Raw genomic sequence first — 25543 nt, 5'->3', positions numbered from 1 at the left:
CTCCCAAGTCACTGGGACCACAGATGTGTACCACACCTGGCTAATGTTTTTGATTTTTAATGGTGAAGAGGTCTCTCTATGTTTCCAAGCTGGTCTTGAACTCCTGGGCTCAAGTGGTTCTCTTCTCGGCCTCCCAAAGAGCTGGGATTTCAGGTGTGAGGCACTGTGCTTGACCAAAGATTTTACTTCTAAGTAGCAAAACCTTAGTAGTGTTTAAAGAAAATTCAGGTGGATATACATACAGATTGAGCATAGCTAATGTGCAATTCTGAAATCCCAAATGCTCCAACACCCAAAACTTTTTGAGTGCTGACTGATGTCACAAGTGAAAAATTCCATACCTGACCTCATGTGACAGGTTGCAGTCAAAACACAGTCAAAACTTTGTTTCATGCATAAAATTATTTAAAATATTATATGAAAATATCTCAGTTCTATGTGTATAAGATGTATATGAAACATAAATGAATTTTGTGTTTAGACTTGGGTGCTGATCACAGATATCTCATTATGTATATGTAAATATTCCAAAATCCTAAAAAATACTCAATCTGAAACACTTCTGATTTTAAGCATTTCAGATAAGAAATACTCAAACTATATTTATACCTGCATGTATTATACTGTACATCATTTACATGTCACTGTAATTATTACATGTTGATTAAACAAAATTTAAAACTTCTTGATTAAATATTTAAATCTAAAACATTACAACAGTTTTTGGAAATATAAAATATTTTATAAATACAATATATAGCATGTACATGTGTGATAAGTATTAGATGTACATTGTGTGTGTGTATGTGTGTGTGTGTGAGAGAGAGTGTGCAATTTTCATAGTCTTGGGTGGAAGGTGCCCATTTTTAAAGTTAATACTAAACTCAAAAATCCTGAAGGGAAAACAGATTTTACTGTAAAGCAACTAAAGATATATGCCCCAAGATATATAAAATACATATAAATATTGGAAAAGTATTTATAACTGAGAGTAATTTTACTATAGATATTAAAGTCTTAATATGTGAATAGATCTTAGAAATCAACAAAAAATAAACTTTCCAGTAGAAGAATAGGCAAAGGCCATAATTTATTAAAAAAGAAATTATATATTATCCCCTATTGAATTGGCAAGTATTCATAATTTCAATATGGCCAAGATTTATATAATGTTTATTTAAGAAGAAACTGGTAAAATATTTTGGGAAGACAGTATGGCAATATGAGCCATAATTTAAAATATGTATATTCTTATTTATTTAGCAATTTAATTTACAGGGATTTATCCTGAGAAAACAATCAGGCAAGTGAAAAATATCTATTTAAAAAATAAGAGACAAACTACTATTTATAGTAGTAAAAAAGTATGGTGCTAATATAAGTATTCAACACAGGAGATTTGATAATCTAGTGTACTGAAATGGTGGAACACCCTATAGCTGTTATAAATTTGCTACAGGGATCTGCTTATTGACTTTGAAAGCTCTCATAATATATTTTTAATAGAAAAAACCTTGCTAGCAAATAGCAAAAAAATTAACTTTGTAAAATATATATGACATATTTACAAATATATTTATTTGTGAGTCTATGTGTGTGTGTATGTGTGGTATGCATGCGTGTGTGTGTGTGTACCAACCATTTGTTAATGGTAGTTTGTTTATGGCAGTTATTATCTAAATAATGGTTTATGCTCTCATGGAGTGTAGTTTCCATAATGGAAAATCCAACAATAAACAAGCAAAAAAATTAACAAAATAAATCAAAATTTGATGATGGATCTGACAAAAAGAAAGGAATAATTCCCTTCCTACATTAGGGGAAGTGGTGAGCACTTTAAAAGAAAACTCTGGAATGCTGTCTTTGAACTGAGACTTAAATGAAAAGGAGCCATTTATGAGAGGAGCAAGGAGCAGAGCCTTCTAGGAAGAGGGAACAGCAAGGGTAAGGATTCTAAGGCTGGAATAGGCTTGCAGAGCTGGGCAGAAAGAAGCCCTATGTGAGGAACCTGAACAATAAGAAAGATGAGAGAGAAGGTTTGAAACATTGGCAGTCCGATGGCTCTGGTAGGTTATTAATTTAAAAAATAAAATAAAAGGGGGTTTTTAATCTGAGTACAATTTATAAATGAAGCAGAGCTTCACTTTTACAGTAACAAAAGAAGAGAACAATTTTATCTTTAAAATTACCTTGCCTTGAGAAAATTCAGTTAGAACCTTTAGCATTGCCTGCCTGAAACAACACTGTTTTGTCTTCCCTAACAGTTTAATTTAACATGGATTCAGGTTCATTGAATCACAGCTAATTGTAAAGCTTTCAAAATTAGCAGACATCTTCCATTAAGGGCCCAGTGATTATGTTCATTAGTATTTGTGGCCTGATTTGTTATTAGGTAAAGAATGCTATTACAGTGTAATCTCATGCATTTTAACAGCTGTGTTATTCCTAATCATTTGAAGAAGGTTGTAAACTGAGTCTCTTATATTAACAGAGATTCCCTAAACAAAGTAGATAGTAACAATCAGTTTTAAGACACTTCACAGAACTAGTGTAACTATCCACTTAGTTTAATGCTATTGCATGTCACTATTGCTTCATGTTAACTCAGCTACATAAATCTCAGTTATAATTCTTTTACAAGTAATACTTTTTTTTCAAAATAACTTAAGAAAACTTTTTGCATGAGGTTCACTAAGTTAAAAGTAAATTCTAATTTCATTCTTTAAAATTTTACAATAATTGGTGGATGAGTCTCCATATCTTTAGTTTGGTTTACAAATAGATGCTGAACATCTGAAGCCATTTTCAATTTGGTTTTAAATTATATACCACCCTCTGTTTTTAAAATTTTTCTTCCAATTAAAAACATAAAAATAAACACAATGTATATTATTACTATACATTTCTTTTTTTTTCTATTTTGTTAAATTTCCATTTTTTTTGTTTTTTTATTATTATACTTTAAGTTTTAGGGTACATGTGCACAATATGCAGGTTAGTTACATATGTATACATGTGACATGCTGGTGCGCTGCACCCACTAACTCGTCATCTAGCATTAGGTATATCTCCCAATGCTATCCCTCCCCCCTCCCCCCACCCCACAACAGTCCCCAGAGTGTGATGTTCCCCTTCCTGCGTCCATGTGTTGTCATTGTTCAATTCCCACCTATGAGTGAGAATATGTGATGTTTGGTTTTTTGTTCTTGCGATAGTTTACTGAGAATGATGATTTCCAATTTCATCCATGTCCCTACAAAGGACATGAACTCATCATTTTTTATGGCTGCATAGTATTCCATGGTGTATATGTGCCACATTTTCTTAATCCAGTCTATCATTGTTGGATATTTGGATTGGTTCCAAGTCTTTGCTATTGTGAATAGTGCCGCAATAAACATACGTGTGCATGTGTCTTTATAGCAGCATGATTTATAGTCCTTTGGGTATATACCCAGTAATGGGATGGCTGGGTCAAACGGTATTTCTAGTTCTAGATCCCTGAGGAATCGCCACACTGACTTCCACAATGGTTGAACTAGTTTACAGTCCCACCAACAGTGTAAAAGTGTTCCTATTTCTCCACATCCTCTCCAGCACCTGTTGTTTCCTGACTTTTTAATGATTGCCATTCTAACTGGTGTGAGATGATATCTCATTGTGGCTTTGATTTGCATTGCTCTGATGGCCAGTGATGGTGAGCATTTTTTCATGTGTTTTTTGGCTGCATAAATGTCTTCTTCTGAGAAGTGACTGTTCATGTCCTTCGCCCACTTTTTGATGGGGTTGTTTGTTTTTTTCTTGTAAATTTGTTTGAGTTCATTGTAGATTCTGGATATTAGCCCTTTGTCAGATGAGTAGGTTGTGAAAATTTTCTCCCATTTTGTGGGTTGCCTGTTCACTCTGATGGTAGTTTCTTTTGCTGTGCAGAAACTCTTTAGTTTAATTAGATCCCATTTGTCAATTTTGGCTTTTGTTGCCATTGCTTTTGGTGTTTTAGACATGAAGTCCTTTCCCGTGCCTATGTCCTGAATGGTAATGCCTAGGTTTTTTTCTAGGGTTTTTATGATTTTAGGTCTAACGTTTAAGTCTTTAATCCATCTTGAATTGATTTTTGTATAAGGTGTAAGGAAGGGATCCAGTTTCAGCTTTCTACATATGGCTAGCCAGTTTTCCCAGCACCATTTATTAAATAGGGAATCCTTTCCCCATTGCTTGTTTTTCTCAAGTTTGTCAAAGATCAGATAGTTGTAGATATGCGGTGTTATTTCTGAGGGCTCTGTTCTGTTCCATTGATCTGTATCTCTGTTTTGGTACCAGTACCATGCTGTTTTGGTTACTGTAGCCTTGTAGTATAGTTTGAAGTCAGGATGCCTCCAGCTTTGTTCTTTTGGCTTAGGATTGTCTTGGCTATGCGGGCTGCCTCTTCAAGTGGGTCCCTGACCCCTGACCCCTGAGCAGCCTAACTGGGAGGCACCCCCCGGTAGGGGCAGACTGACACCTCACACGGCCGGGTATTACTATACATTTCTACCTGATGTTTATTTAGACTTTTCTCTTTAGCTTTAACTTATAAAAAAGTTCTATTAGAAATCAATGAATTCAAATGGAAAGTATTATACATAAATAAAAAATATATGCATTTTTGTATAATTTTTAAGGTTGTGGAAGCAACAAAAGTAGCACAATAAATAGCTTCATAAAAGTAACAGTAAAGATAGTTATGAAGTTCTCTGCTACAGTAGCACAATACTGTAAATGCATTTCAAATTTAATTGAAAATATGTAATATAGCCTCCCTAGATGGAACCATATTTTTAAAAGTGCTCAGTGCTTTCCCACATGGATAAGACAATACTTATGCAGTACATAGTGTTAAACTTTTATGCTTCCTTATTTATATTACATATTGTTTTAGAAAGAATTTTGCAAACTCCGTATTGGACAATGTCTAATCTTCTAAGTTGGTCCCATCCTATTCCTGAAAAATAGTATTAACTTGTTTCATAAACTTTTTAGAGCAGCATTGCCCAGTAGAAATACAATGTGAGATACACATGCAGTTTCAAATTTTTGAAAAGTCCCATTTTGAAATAAGAAAAATAAATAAAAAAATACTTTTAATAGTATATTTTTGTTTAAATCAATATATCCAAAATATCATTTTAACACGTGGCAAATAGCCACATTTCAAGTGCTAAATACCTATCTGTGACTAGTAGCTGCTGAATTGGACACTGAAACTTTAGAACATGACTTAATGTGTGACTCAAATGATTTCCTATAAACTACAGTTTCTACAAAAGAGAACCTATTTTTCAGTAAAAATGATTACTACAGTGGAAAATTCAACTGGCTGATGAGACAGTCATGCATCATGACAAAATAATCAACTGAATCACCTTGTTTGGTTTGAGTTTTTGCATTTTTACCTTTCAGTAAGGGTCTTTGGCTCTGTGTGGAGAAAATCTTTACTCCCCAAGAATCTATTGTATTAATTCACTGAGATATTGTGCTTGTATCTTTTACATACCACCTGTTGCAATGTATATTGATTTGAGGTTCATAGGATTATCTTCCTTCCTTCTCCCTCCAACTGGACTATGGACACTCTGTGAGTAGGTACTGTATCTTCCTTTTCTTTTCTTTTCTTTTTTTTTTTTTTTTTTGAGACCTAGTCTTGTTCTGTCACCCCAGGCTGGAGTGCAGTGGTGCAATCTCAGCTCACTGCAAGCTCCGCCTCCCAGGTTCATGCCATTCTCCTGCCTCAGCCTCCTCTGTAGCTGGGATTACAGGCGCCCACCACCAAGCCCAGCTAATTTTTTTGTATTCTTTAGTAGAGATGGGGTTTCACCGTGTTGGCCAGGATAGGATAGTCTCGATCTCCTGACCTCGTGATCTGCCCGCCTCGGCCTCCCAAACTGCTGGGATTATAGGAGTGAGCCACTGCGCCCGGCCGTATCTTTCATTTTTGTAACAATACACCAGGTAGAGGCTGGACAGAAGATGGGTTCTTTTTTTTTTTTTTTTTTTTTTTTTTTTAGACAGAGTTTCACTCTTGTTGCCCAGGTTGGAGTGCAATGACACAATCTTGGCTCACTGCAACCTCTGCCTCCCAGGTTCAAATGACTCTCCTGCCTCCGCCTCCCAAGTAGCTGGGATTACAGGCATGTGCCACCATGCCCAGCTAATTTTTGTATTTTTAGTAGAGACAGGATTTCACCATGTTGGTCAGGCTGGTCTCAAACTCCTGACCTCAGGTGATCCACCTGCCTCGGCCTCCCAAAGTGCTGGGATTACAGGTATGAGCCACCGTGCCCAGCCCACAAGATAGGTTCTTAATAAATATTTATATATTATATTTAAGTTGCTATCCTCAAGTAATGTCCCTTGGCTTTTTAATATAACTTATAGAAAAATTCAGAATTGTGGGTATTAAAACTTCCCAAGGCAAATGAACCTTGTATGTGCAAGTATATGGGTAATTTAATTTTCCTATTTTAGTGAAGTCTGCACTTGTCTTTTATTTTATCTGTTCTCATTGATGCTCCCTTTCTGAAGGGCCTTGGGTGTTTGAGGTCACTCCCATCAAAGACAAGTTTCATTTGCTATCATTAAGTTTTATTACATATTTCACAGGTGTTTTTCTCATCATGAAGTCATTTTATATATCCTTTTCAAGTTGTTTTGTGTGTTTATACCTTAGCTCCTCTAAAATATTATAACCTTTAAAATCAGTGACCATTTTATTTTTTACTCAACCTTCTTCATAACACCAGGCAGTATTTTGGGCACAGAATAGGTACTGGGTTCAATAAATACTTGTTAATTGAGCTATAATATTTTTGGATGACAATTATGTTTAATATTGAAACTCTACTACACAACAACACAGTTTAACCTGTTTAATGTTATAATTTGCACACCCTACTTCACTATTTAAGTGTACATTGAATGTCTCTTTCATTCTTGAGTTCATTCATTTCACATATTGAGTGCTGCAAAGTCCAGGAAATGTACTAGAACTAAGCATCCCTTAGTGAATACAAGAGACAAGATCCTATGTCTGTGTTATTTGTGTTAGCAGAAATACAAACAACAAACAGGTAAACAACAAATAGGTATAAAATAATTTTATCTTAATTCAATGAAGGAACAAATGGTTGAGGAATAGAATAATAAGTCAAATCAAGATACTTGAAGTGAACAAGGACTCTGTGAGTAGGCAACATTTAAGCTGAGGTCTGAAGGATTAATAAACAATTGCCTTACGAAGAGCAGAAGAAAGAGCGTTCCAGAGAGAAAGAGTATCATATGTAAGACACAGCTTGGTACACAGTGGCATTAGGAAGATGCTCGGTGCATCTAGGGACTCAGTGAGCTCGTCAGAGCCATGAGTGAGGTGAGGTGGAGGTGAGGTGTAGCCAAGGCACGGGATTATGGTGGGATTTTTAGGCCACAATAAGGAAATTGGGCTTTATTTCAAAAGTATGGAGTAATGAAGGGCATGATCCATACTAGCAGAGAAGTCTGCTGAAGCAAGTGGAGAAGGAGGGCAAGAGGGTGAATGTGATAACAGTGAGGGACATATTTTAGTTTTTCTGTTACAAGTTAGTGGGTTGGTACAGTTGAGCAGCAGTAGTGATGAAAAGAAGATGCTATACATTGGATTCTGTACATTGGATTGATAGGACTACTTAAGGGATAGGACTTGGGGATTGAGGAAGAATAAAAATCAAGGATGACTAGCAGTTTTTCTGGTTTTGTTGGAATGATTTTTTCAGATAGAGAAGTCTAAGAAGGAGAAAAAATTGGGGCTGTAAAAAAGAGAAATTTTAAACTTATTTAGTATGAGGTGTCTGTGAGATGTCTAATAAGATGTCTGATAAACAGATTGCTATAAAAATCTGTAGCTCAGAGGAGAATTTGCAAAAGTACAAATATGAAACTCATTGACAGTAAGTAGCCTTTAATAAGGTTATGAAACTGGGTAGAAACCCCTCAAGAAGAAGTGTAGAGAAAAAAGAGAAGAGGTCTGTGGACTGAACTCTGGGGAACACCGGCGTCTTAGTCTACTTGTGCTGCTGTAACAAAATACCACAGACCAGGTGGCTTAAACAACAGACATTTGTTGCTCATAATTCTAGAGGCTGGGAAGTCCAAGATTAAAGGCTGGTAGATTTGGTTCTTGGTAAAAGCTCTCTTTCTGGCTTGCAGATAGTTGCCTTCTTGGTGTGTCCTCACACGGGGGAGGGAAGAAGCTCCAGTGCCACTTTCCTGTTTTATATGGGCACTAGTTTGATAATAGGGGCTTCACCCTCATAATCATATCTAAACCTAATTACCTCCAAAACACTCTGTCTTCTAATATGATCGCATTGGGATTTAGGGGTTCAAAATATGAATTTTTAGGGCACACAGCATTTAGTCTATAACAACTGGAATTTAGAATTTTGTTTGACAAGGAGAAACCAGAGAAGTAAGAATAAAGCCCAAAGAGCCTAGTGTCATTGGAGGCTTCCCCTGCCAAAATCCTTTCAGTGGCTTTCTGTACATTTTAATTAAAACCCACAATCCTTACTGTGATCATCAACGCCACTGTTTTGACAAATAGAGTGTAGACAACTTCAGTAATTGCTACTGACATTTAATGAAGTGGATTAAAATAATTTGGTGATATAGACAAGATTGATTTCACTGGAGTGATGGGATTTAAAGCTAGGTCAGAGCGAAGTGGGTAATATAGTGGAGAAACTAGTGAAGACAACATTAAAAATTTGGCAGTCAATGGCAATAGAAAAATTTATAGTAACTGGGGAAAGAAAATGGACCAAGAAAAGACACATTTAGACTGGGAAGTGCTACAACACATTTGTGTACTGAAGGGATGCATGTGTGGAACTACATCAGCATAATCTGTGCTGTGGCACTAGATACAAGCAGCCACAGTGTCATTGATGGTGGGGGTAGGTCTCAGAATGAGAACTTATGCCCTGGGTGTTTGCTGGCTGCCCTGTTTTTCTTACTCCTCTCCAGCAGCCAGCTGCTAGGAGCAAGTGATAAGAAATGCCAGCTTACATCCCACATTTTCTCTCACTTTTTCCAGTCTTCAGCTTCCTGTTGTTTCTCTTTCTCTTTCCTCACTTACTTAAATCTTGTAAATCTAAGTTGCAGCCACTTTCTTCTTACTTTTTTTTTTTTTTTTTTTTTAGTCTTCCCATAAAGTGTATAGTTTACTCTTATGGGTTGATTTAAATGAGACAAAGAGTTCAGTTCGGGGTTCATCAGAACAGTTGTGTGACTGACGAAATGAAACACAAATAATAAGCTTTATTTGTATAGTTTTAATGGAGAACTGTATTACTATTTTTTACAACATACTGACAGAAAGAATAGTAGAATATTAGGCACTGATTGATATTTATTTATTGAGCACTATGTCTCATAAACTATCTAGTGATTTATATAAAATGTGCTTTTTAAATTTCACAACCCATTTAGTCAGTTATAATTTTTATCTTCATTTTACAGATAAATAAAGAGGTTACATAACTTAATTAAGATAATGCATTTAGAAAGTTTCAGAGCCGTGATTTGAGCCCAAGTAGCCTGACACAAAGCCCAGGCTCTAACCCCTAAATTCTACTGCCTCTAACCCCATAAATTCTTCTTGTCTCAGGGATCAAAATTATGTGGATGGATGTATTAACAGTGTTCCAACATTGTGTGGTTTCTTCAAGATGGTACCCTCATAACTCTCTCTAAATGCATGAATCAGTTTGACCCCAGCCCTAATATGGAGGCAGCAGGTCAACTTCCCACCTGTAATGAGCAGTAATAGCAGCAGTTACAGCAGCTACACTTAGTTATAGGTGACATTTGCTGAATGATGACTAAATGTCAAGCACTGTAACATTTCATTTAATCTTTCCAACAATCCTTTGTATTGTGCACCATGATGGCCTGCATCTCACAGATGAGAAAATGCAGTTCACAGAGGCTAATTTGCCATATAACCTGTATGTGCAGAAGGAAGCCGTTTCATTCTGGAACCCAAGCTGTCAGTCTTAAAATCTTGTATACCTTTACTTATTCAAAGTTCTTACCGAATTTACTCACTTCTCCATGGTTTGTTTCTTCTTTATCTTCCAAACCTTTTAATCCAAATTTGGGTGCAACTTGTCAGTGACATTAAAAATAATTTTTATAGTATATAAATAAAAGAAATTTAAACTATGAGCATTCTTAGTAAAGTTTATCTCCACACAAAATTTTTATTTTCACTCAATTTTATAACCAACTGATTTATTTATATCCAACTAATCAATATGTATATCCAACCGATGTTAGTTATTTTGGTTTTTGTTTTCTCCATAGTCTTTTTTGGTAACTGTTCTCTGGAATATTTCTGTGATAATTTTTGGTTATCATTTTATTTTTTTATCCTTCTAAACACTGTATGCAGTCAATGTATAAATTCAGACATAGTGCACAATGCCAGAAGTGGAACTAGTAATCTTTAAATAATGCTAGAAAATTGTTTGGAAACACATTTCCCAGAACCATATGCTTTGGAATTTGTTAAAACAAAACAAAAACCAAACCTATTCTGGTCAGAGAGGGTTTCCAGGTTCCATATTTTATTCTTATAATTCATCATTTAATTTTCTGCATGTTATGACAGATTTTATATTTGGTAGACAAAAATCTTTATAAAGCATGAGAATGGGAATTTTAAGTTTTGTTTTTTAATTTGAAAGCTGTAGACATACAGTTGTAGAACTCTGCATTTGATTAGTAACTAATTTAAAAATATTTTCATTTACATATTTTATATATAACATTATATTTTATGTGTCTCAGTGAAAATAAACACTAGAAGAGATAAAGGTTTAGCCATCATCAGTATATATCATTGCTAGTGATTATGACTCTGTGAATGGATGAGATCATCCAAAAGGATTACAGAGTATGAAGATATATGGTCAAGGATTAAACTGAAGAACACCACCATTTCAGGGGAGCTCAGGTGAAGAGGCATCCATGAAGCAGTATGAAGACAAATGGTCATAGGATATGGGAAAGTCCAATATTTTCATGAAAGATGAAGACAAGTTTCATGGGTTAAAATTTCAAGGATTGAAGAGTCAACTATATTATGTACTATGAACATCCAGTAAGAATTTTATTTAGCAATATATTAAGGTTATTTTACTCTTGGCAAAATAAGATTCAATAGAAATGTGGATGCAGAGACAGGTTAGGAATTGAATAAGTTAGATATGGAGAAAGATAAATGTGTATTACTCTTTTAGTTCTACATGGACTAGAGAGATAGGAAGATACTTGGAGGATGATTCAGGGTTAAGACATGTGTATTCAGAGAGAATAATTGAAATTGCTTAATATTATATGATAGAGATCAACCATGGTGATGAAATCCACTAAAAGCAAACATTTAGGTTTATGGCATAATCTTAGAATGCAATAATTTGTTTTTTCTTTCATTTAGATTATACTTAACTAACCTAAATATAATTCAAATAGTCAAGAAAGAAGCTATTTTTTTTTTGTTTTAGAGAGGATATTATTATTTTATGTTTATATGTCTTCAATAAGAGCTTATAATATTACTATGACTATGAAGAAAGCAATTTTACCACTACATAATTTTGGTTACATAAAATTTTTATGATAAATGGTGAAAAAACCTTTATACTAAGAAGCAAATATCTCTGCAAAAATTGTACAATATTGAAATCATGAAAATTTAAAAATGCTTTTGATGTATTAATATATTTATCAAAATAATTTGGTATAATGTTTACCAGAGTAAAGTCTTTACTCAACACTATCAAACTTTTAAACCCCTATAGAAACAAATCAATTTTAAGTCACCATTAAAGTCATCTTGTTTTATCTTTTACTAATGTTTGAGGACATGAGTAGATCACATGAAATGTGCTATACTCTCTATATCTCCTTTAGTAATTTCTTACAATTTCTTTAATCCTATAATGTTTTATTTCTAAAATTTTTCTGTGGTTTTATAATAGATGCATGGCCTAATTCTGCATATTACTTGATAGTGAAATATGTGATCTAAGGCTTTTCTGAGTTAGTAGAAATGTCTGCTTTCAAAGCTACTCATAGATAGTAAAAATCTTAGCTCTACCAACGCTTATAATAAAGTCTGTTTTGCTAAAATGCATTTTATTACAACAAATGTTAATTGTCATGGAACATACAATAGATAACTCATATACAGTCTACTCAAAACCACTACTTTAAAGGAGAAAAATCAATGAACCTTTTTGTTTCCACTAGATGTGTGTGTTTGTGGTGTGTGTGTGTGTGTGTGTATAAAGGACTAGATAGGTTGAAATTAGTAACACTTCTAAACTGTGCATCTCATACCTACCCTTCTTCCACAGGCATAGGGAATGGCCAAAATATATGCAAACTCATTTGCAACAAAGGGTTTACTTCAAATGATAAACAAAATATTTATTTCCTGACACTTCTAATTCTTCATGTTCTTTCCTCTGGCTCTTTATTCACAACCATTCTTCTCTTAAGTTCATTTTGTGCTGTGATAACAGCATAACACAGGCTAATTTATAAATAAGGGAAATTTATTTTTTACAGTTCTGGAGGCTAGGAAATCCAAAGTCAAGGGGTCCTCATCTGGCTAGGGCCTTCTTGCTGTGTCATCTCATGGTGGAAGGTAGAAGGGCAAGAAAGCATGTTTAAGAGTGAGAGCATGAGGGGGCTAAACTCACTTTTATCAGAAACTTGCTTCTGCAATAACAGCACTAATTCATTTATGAGGACAAAACCCTCATGGTTTTACTACCTCATAAGGGTCCCACCTCTTAACACCATCACAATGGTAATTACATTTCAACATGAGTTTTGGAGGGGACATTCAACTCATAGCAATTCTACATGAATAAATCTTCTTTCTTAGAAACAAAGTTTTTCAACTCCTGGCCTATCGAATCAGAAATTCTCAGAGTAAGTCTTGGAATCTTTACTTTTGTCACCTTAATGTTTCTGTTCTTGAATACTTATATCCATGGTGACATTTATATTACTACATTTTAAGTGGCTTCTTTAAAAATATTGCTCAACAAATGTGTCTGTATAGGATTATTCTTATCACATTGGCTATAGTATTACTGCATTCAGGTTCCAAACATGATATCTAGTTTGTTTTCTTAAAAATTAATGTTGGATATTTCCTTGATTGATCATTCTAGCCTGACTTGAATTGAAATAGTATATTCATCTAGGCATTCAACTCTACTTATTGAGAGAGAGCCTATCATATGCAGACACTGATTGATCCAGGTGCCTGGAAATAGACCAGTGAACAAAGCAAAGTCTTGGTCTAGAGGAAATGTTCTAAATAGTGAAGGAGACAGACATATGGGAGCATTTGTAACATTTTGGAAAAGTTTTTCTACTGATTGATTTTCAGTTTACTAAGGAAAACTATGCTATCTTGTAGTTTCTGGACGAATGTTATTACTAAAGAATTTGAATTGTCTTGCTCTGAATAATGTAAATCTAAATCAAATAGTTTGACATATTCCTGTATAGATTTTTTAGCTGAAGTGGCTTATAAAACTTTAATAATCTTAAATGTGACTTACTTAATTTCCATGGCTTTTTCCCCTTTCCTTCCTCAGATTAATTAGATATACTTATCCAGTCTGAGCTGATAGTTATTGCAAAGGAAAAGAATTATAAATAGAATACTTAATTTTAGTCTCTAAATAAGTTTTTAAATAATGTATCATAATTTATGTAATTTCTCATACTGTGTGACATTTAATGAATCAGAATAGCCTAAAGGGCCTAAAAAAGATTTACTGAGAAATATGTCACTTGGAGTGTATACACTTTCTGATAATTCCTTTCAATTGAAAGAGAATGGGAAAGATGTTTTACTTTTTATGCTTAATTCATTATACATTTTAAACATATTAATTAAGCAAAATTTAGAAATTCAGGGAGATCTACATTTTCTAGTAATCCTGCCATTTCTCTCATTAGGCATTGTCTGTCTATGATTCATTTCAACAATGACAAAGAAGCTTCTAGACTCATAACAAACCTGAGTTTAAGATTAATATTCTCTAACTTCACATGTCAAAAAAACCTATTTCTCAAGAGAAAAGAAATTAAGGTCAAAAGGTAGGACTCTATTTCTTTTCAAGTGCATAAGGTTTAAGGATCAGAGAATATCTTTTCATCTAGTAGCGGGGGATCATATAGGTCAAGACTAATTGGATTGCATTTTAATAGGTTAACTTATTTTCTGCCTATCACCAAGGAAGTGTCAAATAATCTTTAATTCCTTTACTGGGTGAAGAATTCATCACATATCTTAATAAACTGCTCAATCAAAAGCAAAGTATGAACAACTGAAAACATAGCAGTATGTTTAATAAAGAAAAAGTTTCGCTGAGGCCATTATGCACAGGATGAGTATAAGAGACCCTGTTCAATGAGGTCCCCATTCGATCTGTAAAAATATTGTCAGATTTGTTAAACTTGGCTTATGTCTTTGCTTCATAAGCAAGACTAGGTTCCTTCATAAGTGTGTAAATTAAATATGCAAGGTTTAAATATGCAAATATGCAATATGTCAGTCTTTTTCCTCACCCTTCACTGGGTCCCAATACTTCCTGATGAAATTATGCTACCACATTCTTCATGACTGGATGATGAGAGTTAAGAGCCTGCAGCCACAGACCCAGTAGAGGAATTGACAAGACCAGATTTATCCTCCTGCCAATGTGCAAATCAAAATTTAAACAAAGCACATCAAGTCAGTATTTCACTGTCTACTACTGCTGCTACTATTGCTATTTGTGCTACTGCCACTTAACCCTTATTTGCATTTGCTGTGTGTACACATTTACCTTCCCAAGAATCATCAGAGGCAGGTACTATTGTTACGTAAGTTTTATATGTGGGAAATTAAAACACAAAACTCTTAAGTAACTAGCCCAAGGTTACACATCTGTACAGTGTCAGAGCCAATATTCAAATCCAGGCATCCTAGGCCTAAAGCTCTTGTATTAATACCAACACTCAATTACACCACACAAAAATCACAATATGTTAATATTAAATTAGCCTTTTTGCTGATTTTCTGATTGCAAAATTCTCAATAAATTTGTCTCATTTTGGGGGGATACTGCTTATTCAGACAATTATATAACATAGCACTGAGAATTAAGAAATGAGGTCAGGGAATTGCCAAAGGAAACCAGAGTTGGGAAATATAAAGTGCAAAAACATTCAGAAGAAGCCAAAAACAATTGCTGTATAGAGATGATCATTTGAGCAGAAAAGTTTGCTAATGAAACTATATTTTTATTTTTTGGCTGGTGTTTTTCTGAACAGAGTAAGGCTGAATCATTTGCAAATGCTTATGAAAAGGGAAATAATTTATATTGTTTTTTTAAAAAGTATCTTGTATTAGGCCATTTTTGCATTGCTGCAAAGAAATACCTGGCTGGGTAATTTACAAAGAAAAAAAGTTTAATTGGCTCACAGTTTTGTAGGTTTTACAGGAAGCATGGTGCTGGCATTTGCTTGGCTTCTGAAGAAGCCTCAGGGAGCTTTCAATCATGGCAGAAGGTGAAGGGGGAACAGGCATATCACATGGCAAAAGTAGGAGCAAGCAAGAGGGGATAGGGAGGTGCCACATTTTAAATGACCAGATCTCGCAAGAGCTTACTACCACAAAGACACCATCAAGCCATGAAGGATATGCTCCTATGATCCAGACACCTTCCACCAGGCCCTATCTTCAGCACTGGGACTACAATTCCACATAAAAGTAGGGTGGGGACAAATATTCAAACTATATCATTTTACTGCTGGCCCCTCCCAAATCTCATGTCCTTCTCACATTGCAAAATACAATCATGCCTTCTCAAAAGTCCCTCAAATTTTTAACTAATTCCAGTGTAAACTCAAAAGTTCAAAGTCTCAGCAGAGATAAAGCAATTCCCTTCCACCTATGAGCCTGAAAAATAAAAAACAAATTAGTTATTTCCAAGATTCAATGCAGTTATAGGCATTAGGCAAACATACTCCAATAAGGAGAAATTAGCCAAAAGAAAGGGGCTGTAGACCTCATGCAATTATGAAACCAAAGAGGATAGTCATTAAATTTTAAAGCTCCCAAATAATCTTTATTCCGTATCCCATATCCAGGGCAAACTGGTGCAAGGGGTGGACTCCCAAGGCCTTGGAAAGCTCCACTTCTGTGTCTTTGCAAAGTTAAGCACCAGGCTGCTCTCACAGGTTGTTGAATGCCTGTGGCTTCTCCAGGCACAGGTTGCAAGCTGCTGGTGGATCTACAGTTCTCTGATCTGGAGGGTGGTAGCCTCTCTCTCATAGCTTCACTATGCAGTGCCCTCATGGGGAACCTGTGTGGGGGCTCCAATCCAACTTTTCCCATTGGAGCTTCCCTAGGAGAGGCTCTCTGTGGGGACTCTGCCCCTGCAGCAGGCTTTTGCCTGGGCACTGAGGCTATTCAATACATCCTCTGCAATCTAGGCAGATAGCACCAAACCTCATTCACTCCTGTACTCTGTACACCTACAGGCTTAACACCACATGGAAGCCACCAAGGCTTTCAGTGGCTTTTGCACTATCAGTATCTGGCAGCACTAGCAGTATCTGGAACCCTTTGATCCAAGGCTGGAGCAGGAGCAACCAGGATGCCAAGAAGGCTGCACAGGACAGTGGTGGCCCCAGGTCTGGCCCATGAAACCATTCTTTCTTCCTAGGTCTCCAGGCCTGTGATGGATGTGAGGGGCTGCCACACAGTTTTCTGAAATGCTTTTGAGGCCTTTTTCCATTGTCTTGGCTATCAGCACTTGGGTCCCTTTTAGTTATGCAAATTTCTCTAGCAAGTGGTTGCTCTTCAGCCTCCTTGAATTTCTCTCCTGGAAAAATAAAAACTCTTTTCTTTCTCTATCACATGGCCAGGGTATGGATTTTCCAAACTTTATGCATTGTTTTTTTAAACATAAATTCCAATCTTAGGTCATTTTTTTTTGCCCCTGTATCTGAACATAGGCTATTAAAAGTAGCCAGACCACATCTTGAACACTTTGTTAATTAGAAATTTCTTTCATCAAATACCCTAATCATCACTCTTTAGTTTAAACTTCCACAGATCCCTATAGTAGGAACAGAATGCAGCCAAGATCTTTGCTAAGGCATAACATGTGTAAACTTTGCTCCAGTTCCTGTAAGTTCCTCATTTCCATCTAAGACCTTGACACCTGGACCTTACCATCCATATTACTATTAGCATTTTAGTCACAGCCATTTAACCAGTCTCTAAGAAGTTCCAAACTTTCCCTTATCTCTTTGTATTCTTCTGAGCCCTCCAAACTCTTCCAACCTCTGCCCGTTACCCAGTTACACAGTCACTTCCACATTTTTAGGTATTTTTATAGCAGTGCCCCAAACTCCTGGTACCAATTTTCTGTATTAGGCCATTCTTGCATTGCTACAAAGAAATATATGAGACTGGGTAATTTAAATTGGCTTACAGTTCTGCAGGCTTTACAAGGAGCATGGTGTGGGCATCTGCTTGGCTTCTGGAGAAGCCTCAGAGAGCTTTCAGTCATGGTGGGAAGTGAAGGGGGAACAGGGACATCACACGGTGAAAGCAGGAGCAACCAAAAGAAAGTTAGAGGGGAGGTTCCACACACTCTTTGATGAGCAGATCTCATGAGAACTCACTATTACCAAGACATCACCGAGTTATGAGGGATCTGCCCCCATGATCCAAACACCACCCACCAGACCCCACCTCCAACACTGGGGATTAAAATTCGACATGAGATTTGGGTGGGGACAAACATCTAACCTTATGATATATAAGACTATATCATATTATCTCTTATACACTTTATAATGCTTCCTGAAAAGAGACTTAAACTGCCTCATTTATTCCAAAACACTAGGTAAAAATGAGTTGGATAGATATTTTCATTATGTGGTCAGAGATATTGACTAAGGAGTACTTATGTTAGAAAGTATTTCAGGTTTAAAAAAGTATAAATCATCTACTGTGATGATATATTCAGCAACTAAAAATTAGTTGCTTTTTAAACATTATTGTCAACTAGGCCAAGCTATTTATAAATAATTAAAAATAACTGCTTTTTCGTCATAGAATTTTATATCTTTATTGATAGTTATATGGCTTTAGGGTATCAAAACTCCACCTAGAATTTATCACCACAAAAATGTTTTTCTTAGAAATTTAATGATTGTTATACATTCAAAATTGACCAATACTATGAAAATATGTGTGGAAGCAGATACAGTACAAGTTATGTGTACAATTTTATGATTCATATTGATAGTTGTCAACATCAATCAATTGAATGATCATTTATTATTGTTTTTCTAACATCGCTTTGCTTTTCGAAGTGTAATTAGAATTATAATACCAGACCATAAAATCCAGAGGAAGAAAATTGCTTATTTCTTTTATGGATTCATTGGTCTAAAAAGATTCAACCTGTAAAATATTTTTATTTTATAATGAGCACTTGTATGGTGAACATAGAAAACTCAATAACAGATTAGAAATATATGAATATTGACTCTAAAATTAGTTATTTATTCCTGTGTAAATAATTACCTGAACACTTACTGGCTTAAAACAATTTATATTATTTCATAATATCTGTGGGTAGGAATTTGGCACGGTTTAGCTGGGTCCTCAGACTCCAGATCTCTCACAAGGCTGCAATCAAAGTATCAGCTAGGGCTGACATCAGCTCAGGCTCAAACTGTGGGAGGAGCAACTTCTGAATTCACTTAACCTGAGCTTGGCAAGCTTCCTTTCCTGGCTAGTGGTTGGCATGAGACATCAGTTTCTTGCTACCTTGATCTTCCCATAAGCTGTACAGTGTGGCAACTTCCCCCAGACAGGTTTTGTGTGTGTGTGTGTGTGTGTGTGTCTGTGTTTGTGTATGTGTGTGTGTGTCAGAGAGAGAGAGAGAGGAAGAGAGAAAGTCAGTCTATAGTAACCTAATCACAGGAGAGACAAGAAGACATCCCAACACTTAACCATATTTTTACTAGGCCTAAACATCTACATGTAAGAGAGGGGGATTACACAAGGGTGTGAATACCAGGAGGTAGAAATCACTAGGAACCATTTTAGAGTCTTCCTATCACAATTTCCAAAGACATTCTAAAGAATATTATAAAATAAAATTTATCTTTTTCTTCTTTCTCTTTTGGACAATTTCTTCCTTGCTAAATACTGTTTCTTGGTGTTTCCCCTGGTCAAAAGTTACTTATCTCCTTTCCACAGCTAATTAAAGTTTGCTTTTAGCTAACTATTATCCATTAATAGGTCCTTGTTGAATTAATCTTATGTGAAAGACACTTGGCAAATGCAATCTGTACAATAAAAGAATGACTAACTTAATATACTTCCTCCTAATGAGTTTGCAGTGGAGGTTCAGGCAAAATCTGTTGAAATGATTCACTTAGTATTGGTGACTAATTCCAATAAGGTGTTATCTTGTCATTGTGCCTGAGCATTCAATGCCACAGAACAGAAAGCAGTATATAATAAAAGGAATTTCAGGTACTGAAAGAGGATACTTTAAGGCAGAGTCCTCCCACACACAGGAAACTGCCCACTGAAACTGTCTTTCCATTTATTTTTCTCGAATCAACATATTTATTGAAACATTACAGAATATAGAGAGGTATGGATAAACCTATGCTAAGAGAGTTAGGATTTATGTGGAAAGAAAACACATAGAATGATAATATCAGGCAATATATAGATGAAAATAAGTATAATGGAAGTTCAGTGGATGGAGAGGTCACTCCTGCCTGGGCTGGTCAAGAAAGTTTAATTTGGTTTGAATCCAAGGTATTCTTACATTCAGGCCAAGCCTGTTCTAACTTACATTTTTAATTACCCCTTGTGGTAGGCTGCATAAGGAACCCCCAAAATGTCTGCATCTTATATCCCAGGACATGTGGCTATGTTACCTTTGGGACATTGTGGGTGTGAGAACATTAGGTCGGTTAAGAATCTTGAGATGGAGAGAGAATTCTGAATTAGCTAGGTGCATCCAATGTAAGAGTCCTTATAAGAAGGAGGCAAAAGGGTTAGTGTTAGAAAAAGAGATGTGAACATAGAACTAGAGATTGAAATAATGCTCTTTGAAGATGGAGGAAGAGGCCATAAGCCAAAAAATGCATGCAGCCTTTAAAAGCTGGATAAGGCAAGGAAATGGATTCTCCTCTGAAGTCTGCAGAAGGAACATAGCCCCTGCCAACACCTTGATTTTTAGATTCTAACCTTCAAATCTGTGAAATAATAAATTTGTGTTATTTTAAGTCACTAATTTGTGGAAATTCATTACAGAAGCAATAGGAAATTAATATACTCTTCACATGGAATGGAATTTAGTAGTTTACCCATGGGCCACGTTGCTTTACTTTTCTAGCAGTCCTCTTAGGTCAAGCACTTTAAGATGCACTGCCCACTCTGCAGCTCAAATCTGGTCCTCAGGAATAGTCACCTCTGTGTGTTGGGGGAGGAGGAGTGGGAGGGTGAGGAGTGAGACAGGAATAGACTTTGGTGCCTAAGTGTAAAGATGCGAAAAATCCTGAAATTCAAATTCAGTATACTTTCCATGAAGAAATTTCCTGCCTAATTTGCCAATAATGCTCTCATTAAGAGACAATGTTTATCAATTCTGGCAGAATCTGTTTTACAATATTTTCACATGGCTTGATGTAGCTCCTTGCTTAAGGATATGGAAATACTGGTCATCACCACATTATTTTTGGCCTTTGGACCAAAGCTAAAATTGAGAAAGATTCCAATTTTAATATTGTGTTACATAGCCACTGCACTATGCATTCAAGATTCACAATCCAGTTTAAGGTATGCTGGAGGCAAAGGGATGAAGATTTATCTGCCATTAAAATGCCACTATATTCTTGCTTTGAGTGGTACTGTACTGTGTTTACTGAAACCAGTACATACCAGAACCAGGGGAGCCATGTCCCTGCTTTATAGTAACTGATTTCATGGAGCCATGCAAGGTAAAGACAGTTAACACTGTACTGTGCCAAGTAAGGACTGTCTGTATCGTCTGTTTTGATTGCTCTCAAACAAAAGAAATATCCAGACTTTGCCACTGCACTAACCCCAAGGAACTTAGCATTGTATGCACTTTGAAATTCTTACCTGGTGGTGTGGCTCATTTGAATGCTGTCAGTTACATTTGGGAGGAAGTATAAGTAATGAAAAATATGTCCTAGAAATATTAAGGAAAGGAGAGATAAGGATATAAAATATTCTAAATTGATCCCAGTAAATGAAAGAATATTATAAACTTTAAAGCTTTATTTTAGTTGTATTTTGGGGAGGGGGAGCTTGAGTGGATGAAAAGGAGAACAAGACTGTCTGTAGAACATTTAATGACTATAGAATGTTCTATGATCGACTCTAAATCTCCAGCTCTATGCTGTGCTCTACAACTCCTACATTATGCTATAGTCTCAATTACTTGAATAACATAACATCAATGCATTTTATGCTCTGATATCAGTCAGTTACATTTCCATTCAATAGTATTATTTGGTATTATAAACATTTATTCATAATAGAATCCTGGTAGCATCAATTGAAATGGAGCTGCCCAGAAGAAAAATAGATAAATCATATGTTCTTTTGCTATTTCTTGTTAACATTATGATCATCACTTATTTCAAAAACTGAACTAAAAAATAAAAAATAAATTTGAAATTAACTTATTATGATTTAGAACTTGGTGAATTTCTTTCCCAAAGAAAACAGCAATGCAAAGGGAATTTTTCTGCATGTTTCTTAGGTTCCAAATTAGACTTCCTTTCACAAATTTTGCATATCTGATTTTGGATAGTGTTGCTAATTGCTGTTTTTTTTTAAATTTAAGATCTCATCTCTCCCCCTAGCTCTATCTAATTCCTCCAAGGCTATTACTTCCAAAATTAATATATGACCATAAAATACTTAATATTCAGCTGAAAATCCTATGCCAATTTTTTCTAGAAGTGTGAACTTGAATTTGAATATAGATCATCTGTTTTCTTGCCAGCTTATTATGATTACCTTGAAACTGTTTATATTAATTGGCTTAATACCTAAATTCCAGTAAGGGAGAGATACGGTTAAATAAATATGTATTAGAAATATCTATTATTAGAAGTATCTATTTTAAAAGCAGATATATATATATATATATATATTTAATAAACCACTTGCCCTGTTTTTGCTTTCAGTTCACAAAAAATTCTGCCTTGTGGTTATTTATGAATCAGACTGATAAATTGCCTTAAGGTACCACAGTCAGAGGAACTGCAGTTATTAACAGTTGGAAAAGACAGTATTTTATTCTTCCCTCTTACAAAAATCACTTCCGATAGGCTAATCTCCAAGTTTTTTTTTTTTAAGCCAGTATTTTAGGCTACTATTTACTGAGTTGAAAATAAAACCTGATTTTTAAAATTAAATTATGTGGTATTATATTTTTCTAGTTATTTGTTTGCATTTTGTGTCAGATAGGAGAAGATCTAAGCATCATGTAATTGAAGACTTAATTATAAATTAGAATTACAGTAATTGAGCCTCCGATCCATCAAACAAAAGTGAGTCTCCCATAAATTATGTGTATCTAGGATTATAATATTGATATTCTCATTTAAATGTTGAATTCTTCTTCTCAGTGGCTATAGCACATTTCTAACCTACTTAAAGCTTCCCACATCATGGTATATAAACCTGTGATATCAAATAACACATTTAAAGAGGAATAAATTTGTATGGGTTTATGGTATACATGTTACCCAATACATAGTTTTTAATGTACAGCAAAAAGATTACTCATTTTTTTATTAGGAAGAATGAAAATAATATGCTTTAATATGACTGGTGAAAAATGTTTAATAACCAAAGCCATAGAAATGCATAAAAGTTGTAAGACTATGTGGGGAAATAAAATGAATCTTAGGTTTCCTTCCCTTTCAGGCAAAATAATCTCTAGAAATCTAATGGAGATTTATACCTAAGATTAGTCTATATTTGGGTCTTATTTACATGTATTCTAATGCTTATCTGTTTTAACATATATCTTTATGTAATCTGTATCCATAGCCTATCTTTATTTTACACATGTGTAACTAGACTGTACCTATGTATTATTACATGAATAATAATAATTAATATTGTTTACTGTAAGTTATCAATAGGTAGCTTTCCATGAATTATTAAAATTAATATTAATTATTATAATAAATATTCCAAACCTTTCTAATTTGTGTACTAGGACATAGATTGATTTATTTTCTGTAAAGAACATAAAGCAATTAGCCTAAGGTCACACAGATAGTAGGTAGTAAAGCCAGGCTTGAACCTGTTCTCTGGATCACTAAGCTGTCTATTTTTGCATGTGTCTTACATTTTGCAGGCTTGAAGTAAAATTGGAGAGCTGTTGACTACCCCTCAGGCAAAGTTTCTTGGGACAGTACCTCTGTTGTGCTAGAGTAGAACCCTCCCTTCGGTCTGAGGGACTCAGGAAAGCCTCCCCAGAGGAGATGGTGCCTAGACTGAGTTTCAAAGGATGAATTACATTCACCCACAAGGTAGGGGTGGCTTTCTAGACATAAGAATCCGTGGTGCAGAAACATAAAAGAAAACACTTGTCACAATAAGGAAGTGCAGGATTCATTATGATAAGAGTGCAGGGTTTCTTTTTTGGAAAGTGGTAAAAGGTGAAGTGAAAAAAGTAGTTCAGAAATGTATGATGACAATGGAAAACCACATGTACAGAGGTTTGATTATCTTTCCTTCCTGGGAATGGGGACCTTACTTAAGTATTTTGAGTACAGAAGTAACCTGTCTATATTTGCATTTAAAATACATCACTCTGGGGTAGTGGTTCTCCAACCTTAGCCTGCATCAGACTCACTTGGAGGGTGTGTTAAACAGTTTCAGATGCAGCCGAATTCAGGTAGGGCCCAAGAAATTGCATGTCTTATGAGTTCCTAGGTGATGTTGCTGCTGCTGCTGGTGGTGGTCCTCAGGCCACACTTTGGGAACTGGTTGGAAGAAAAGATGATATGAAAGTGAGAGTGGAAAAAGGAACTCAACAAAGACACTGTTTTGGAAAAAGCCAGGGGTCAGGGGAAAATAAAATGAGGTTTTGAACTAAGCTGGTAAATGCAATGGTAAATGAAAGAAGGCAATCAACTAAGCAGATATTTACAAGGAAAACTAGACTGGATTGGAATATGCATACCAGAGTAAGGGAAAACTCTATTAACATCCATAAACCTAGACTGGATAACTAACTGCTTATTGAAAACATCAACAGGAATAGGAAATTGGCGGTTGGCCATGGCAATGGCTGATAAAGAAGATGATGTCTTATTTGGATATAGTGAGTTTGAGATAGCAAGGATGCATCAGTGTGGAAAAGTTGGAAAACAGAAATTGATTGAGACTGAGTCAGGAATTAGCAAAACATTCCCTTTATCGCCTCAGCCATATGGAAAGGAATGGACAAGAAAAAGCGACACACAAAATTTATGAAGTGGAAAATGTAGAACCTGAATCTCTGGCACTTTCTTCAGAAAGCCCTATTCTTATGCACTATTGAAACACTTGTGCCTTTGATACACATTATATTTCCTAGTTAGGTTTGAATTCAGGTAGAAGACTTTGAAATTAGAAATATATAGCCAAGATTTTGGGAATTTTACTTTTTGGCTAAATCTGATGTTCTCAGCTCTTACATTTACAGGTCAATCAAGGATAATCATCCTCCCATCAGAGGATATCAGCCACCTCAGAATTATTCTGCCTGCAATTTGTTGCATTTCTTCTTCAGATAGTGAATAAGTATTTATGTTTTTTTCCAAGTCACCATATGCATGCCAAGAAGTTCTCCCTACTCTTTTCTCATACCTCAATTCATTCAAGAGAGCATCATTGTTAAAAATCATTGCCTCTGGAATCAGCCTCTTTGGTTTGAATACTTATTGGCTGTGTGACCTTTGTTAAGTCATTTAAACTCTGAAAGACCCAGTTTCATCATCTTGAAATGGTGGAAATAATAATGGCTAAGAGAGTTACGATGTTACCTAATGCGGCAGTAGAGCTCTTAGCATGGTGTGTGTTTCAGTAAATGCTTAATAAATGTTAATTATTATGTTACTCAACCAGTTCCTGGAGACACTTACCCAATATGCATTCAAAAATAAAGTACAATCTGGCAATATGAAATACCCAAACTAATTGTCACACTATAAAATTTAACACCACAACCCCTGTCTGTTATAATTTTAACACCACATTTCTCAAAATTCTTCCTCATGTTGTTCTGCAGATTTATGTGCTTTTGGACTGAAAAATCCTTAAAGTCAGAGAGCATGTCATGACTCTGAATACTATGAAACCTGTGACCTTGAT

At 35.3% G+C, this 25543-nt stretch overlaps 1 protein-coding gene across 41 annotated transcripts in view, besides 1 other annotated feature; it reads left to right on the top strand.

The window, feature by feature from the left end:
* Window positions 1-25543, top strand: part of PPFIA2 (PPFI scaffold protein A2) — a 501376-nt gene that overhangs the window by 48225 nt on the left and 427608 nt on the right. The gene's annotated exons all lie outside the window — the stretch shown is intronic.
* Window positions 16587-17199: an enhancer, noted in NCBI's record as "NANOG hESC enhancer chr12:82087706-82088318 (GRCh37/hg19 assembly coordinates)". NCBI's record gives its function as "activates a minimal SCP1, AML or CMV promoter by ChIP-STARR-seq in naive and primed H9 embryonic stem cells {active_cell/tissue: H9 hESC(naive and primed)}" and the evidence as "EXISTENCE:reporter gene assay evidence [ECO:0000049][PMID:30033119]".

This window comes from Homo sapiens, chromosome 12, assembly GCF_000001405.40.
Source record: "Homo sapiens chromosome 12, GRCh38.p14 Primary Assembly".
Classification (NCBI taxonomy): domain Eukaryota; kingdom Metazoa; phylum Chordata; class Mammalia; order Primates; family Hominidae; genus Homo; species Homo sapiens.
This window is presented reverse-complemented; position numbering and strand designations above follow the sequence as displayed.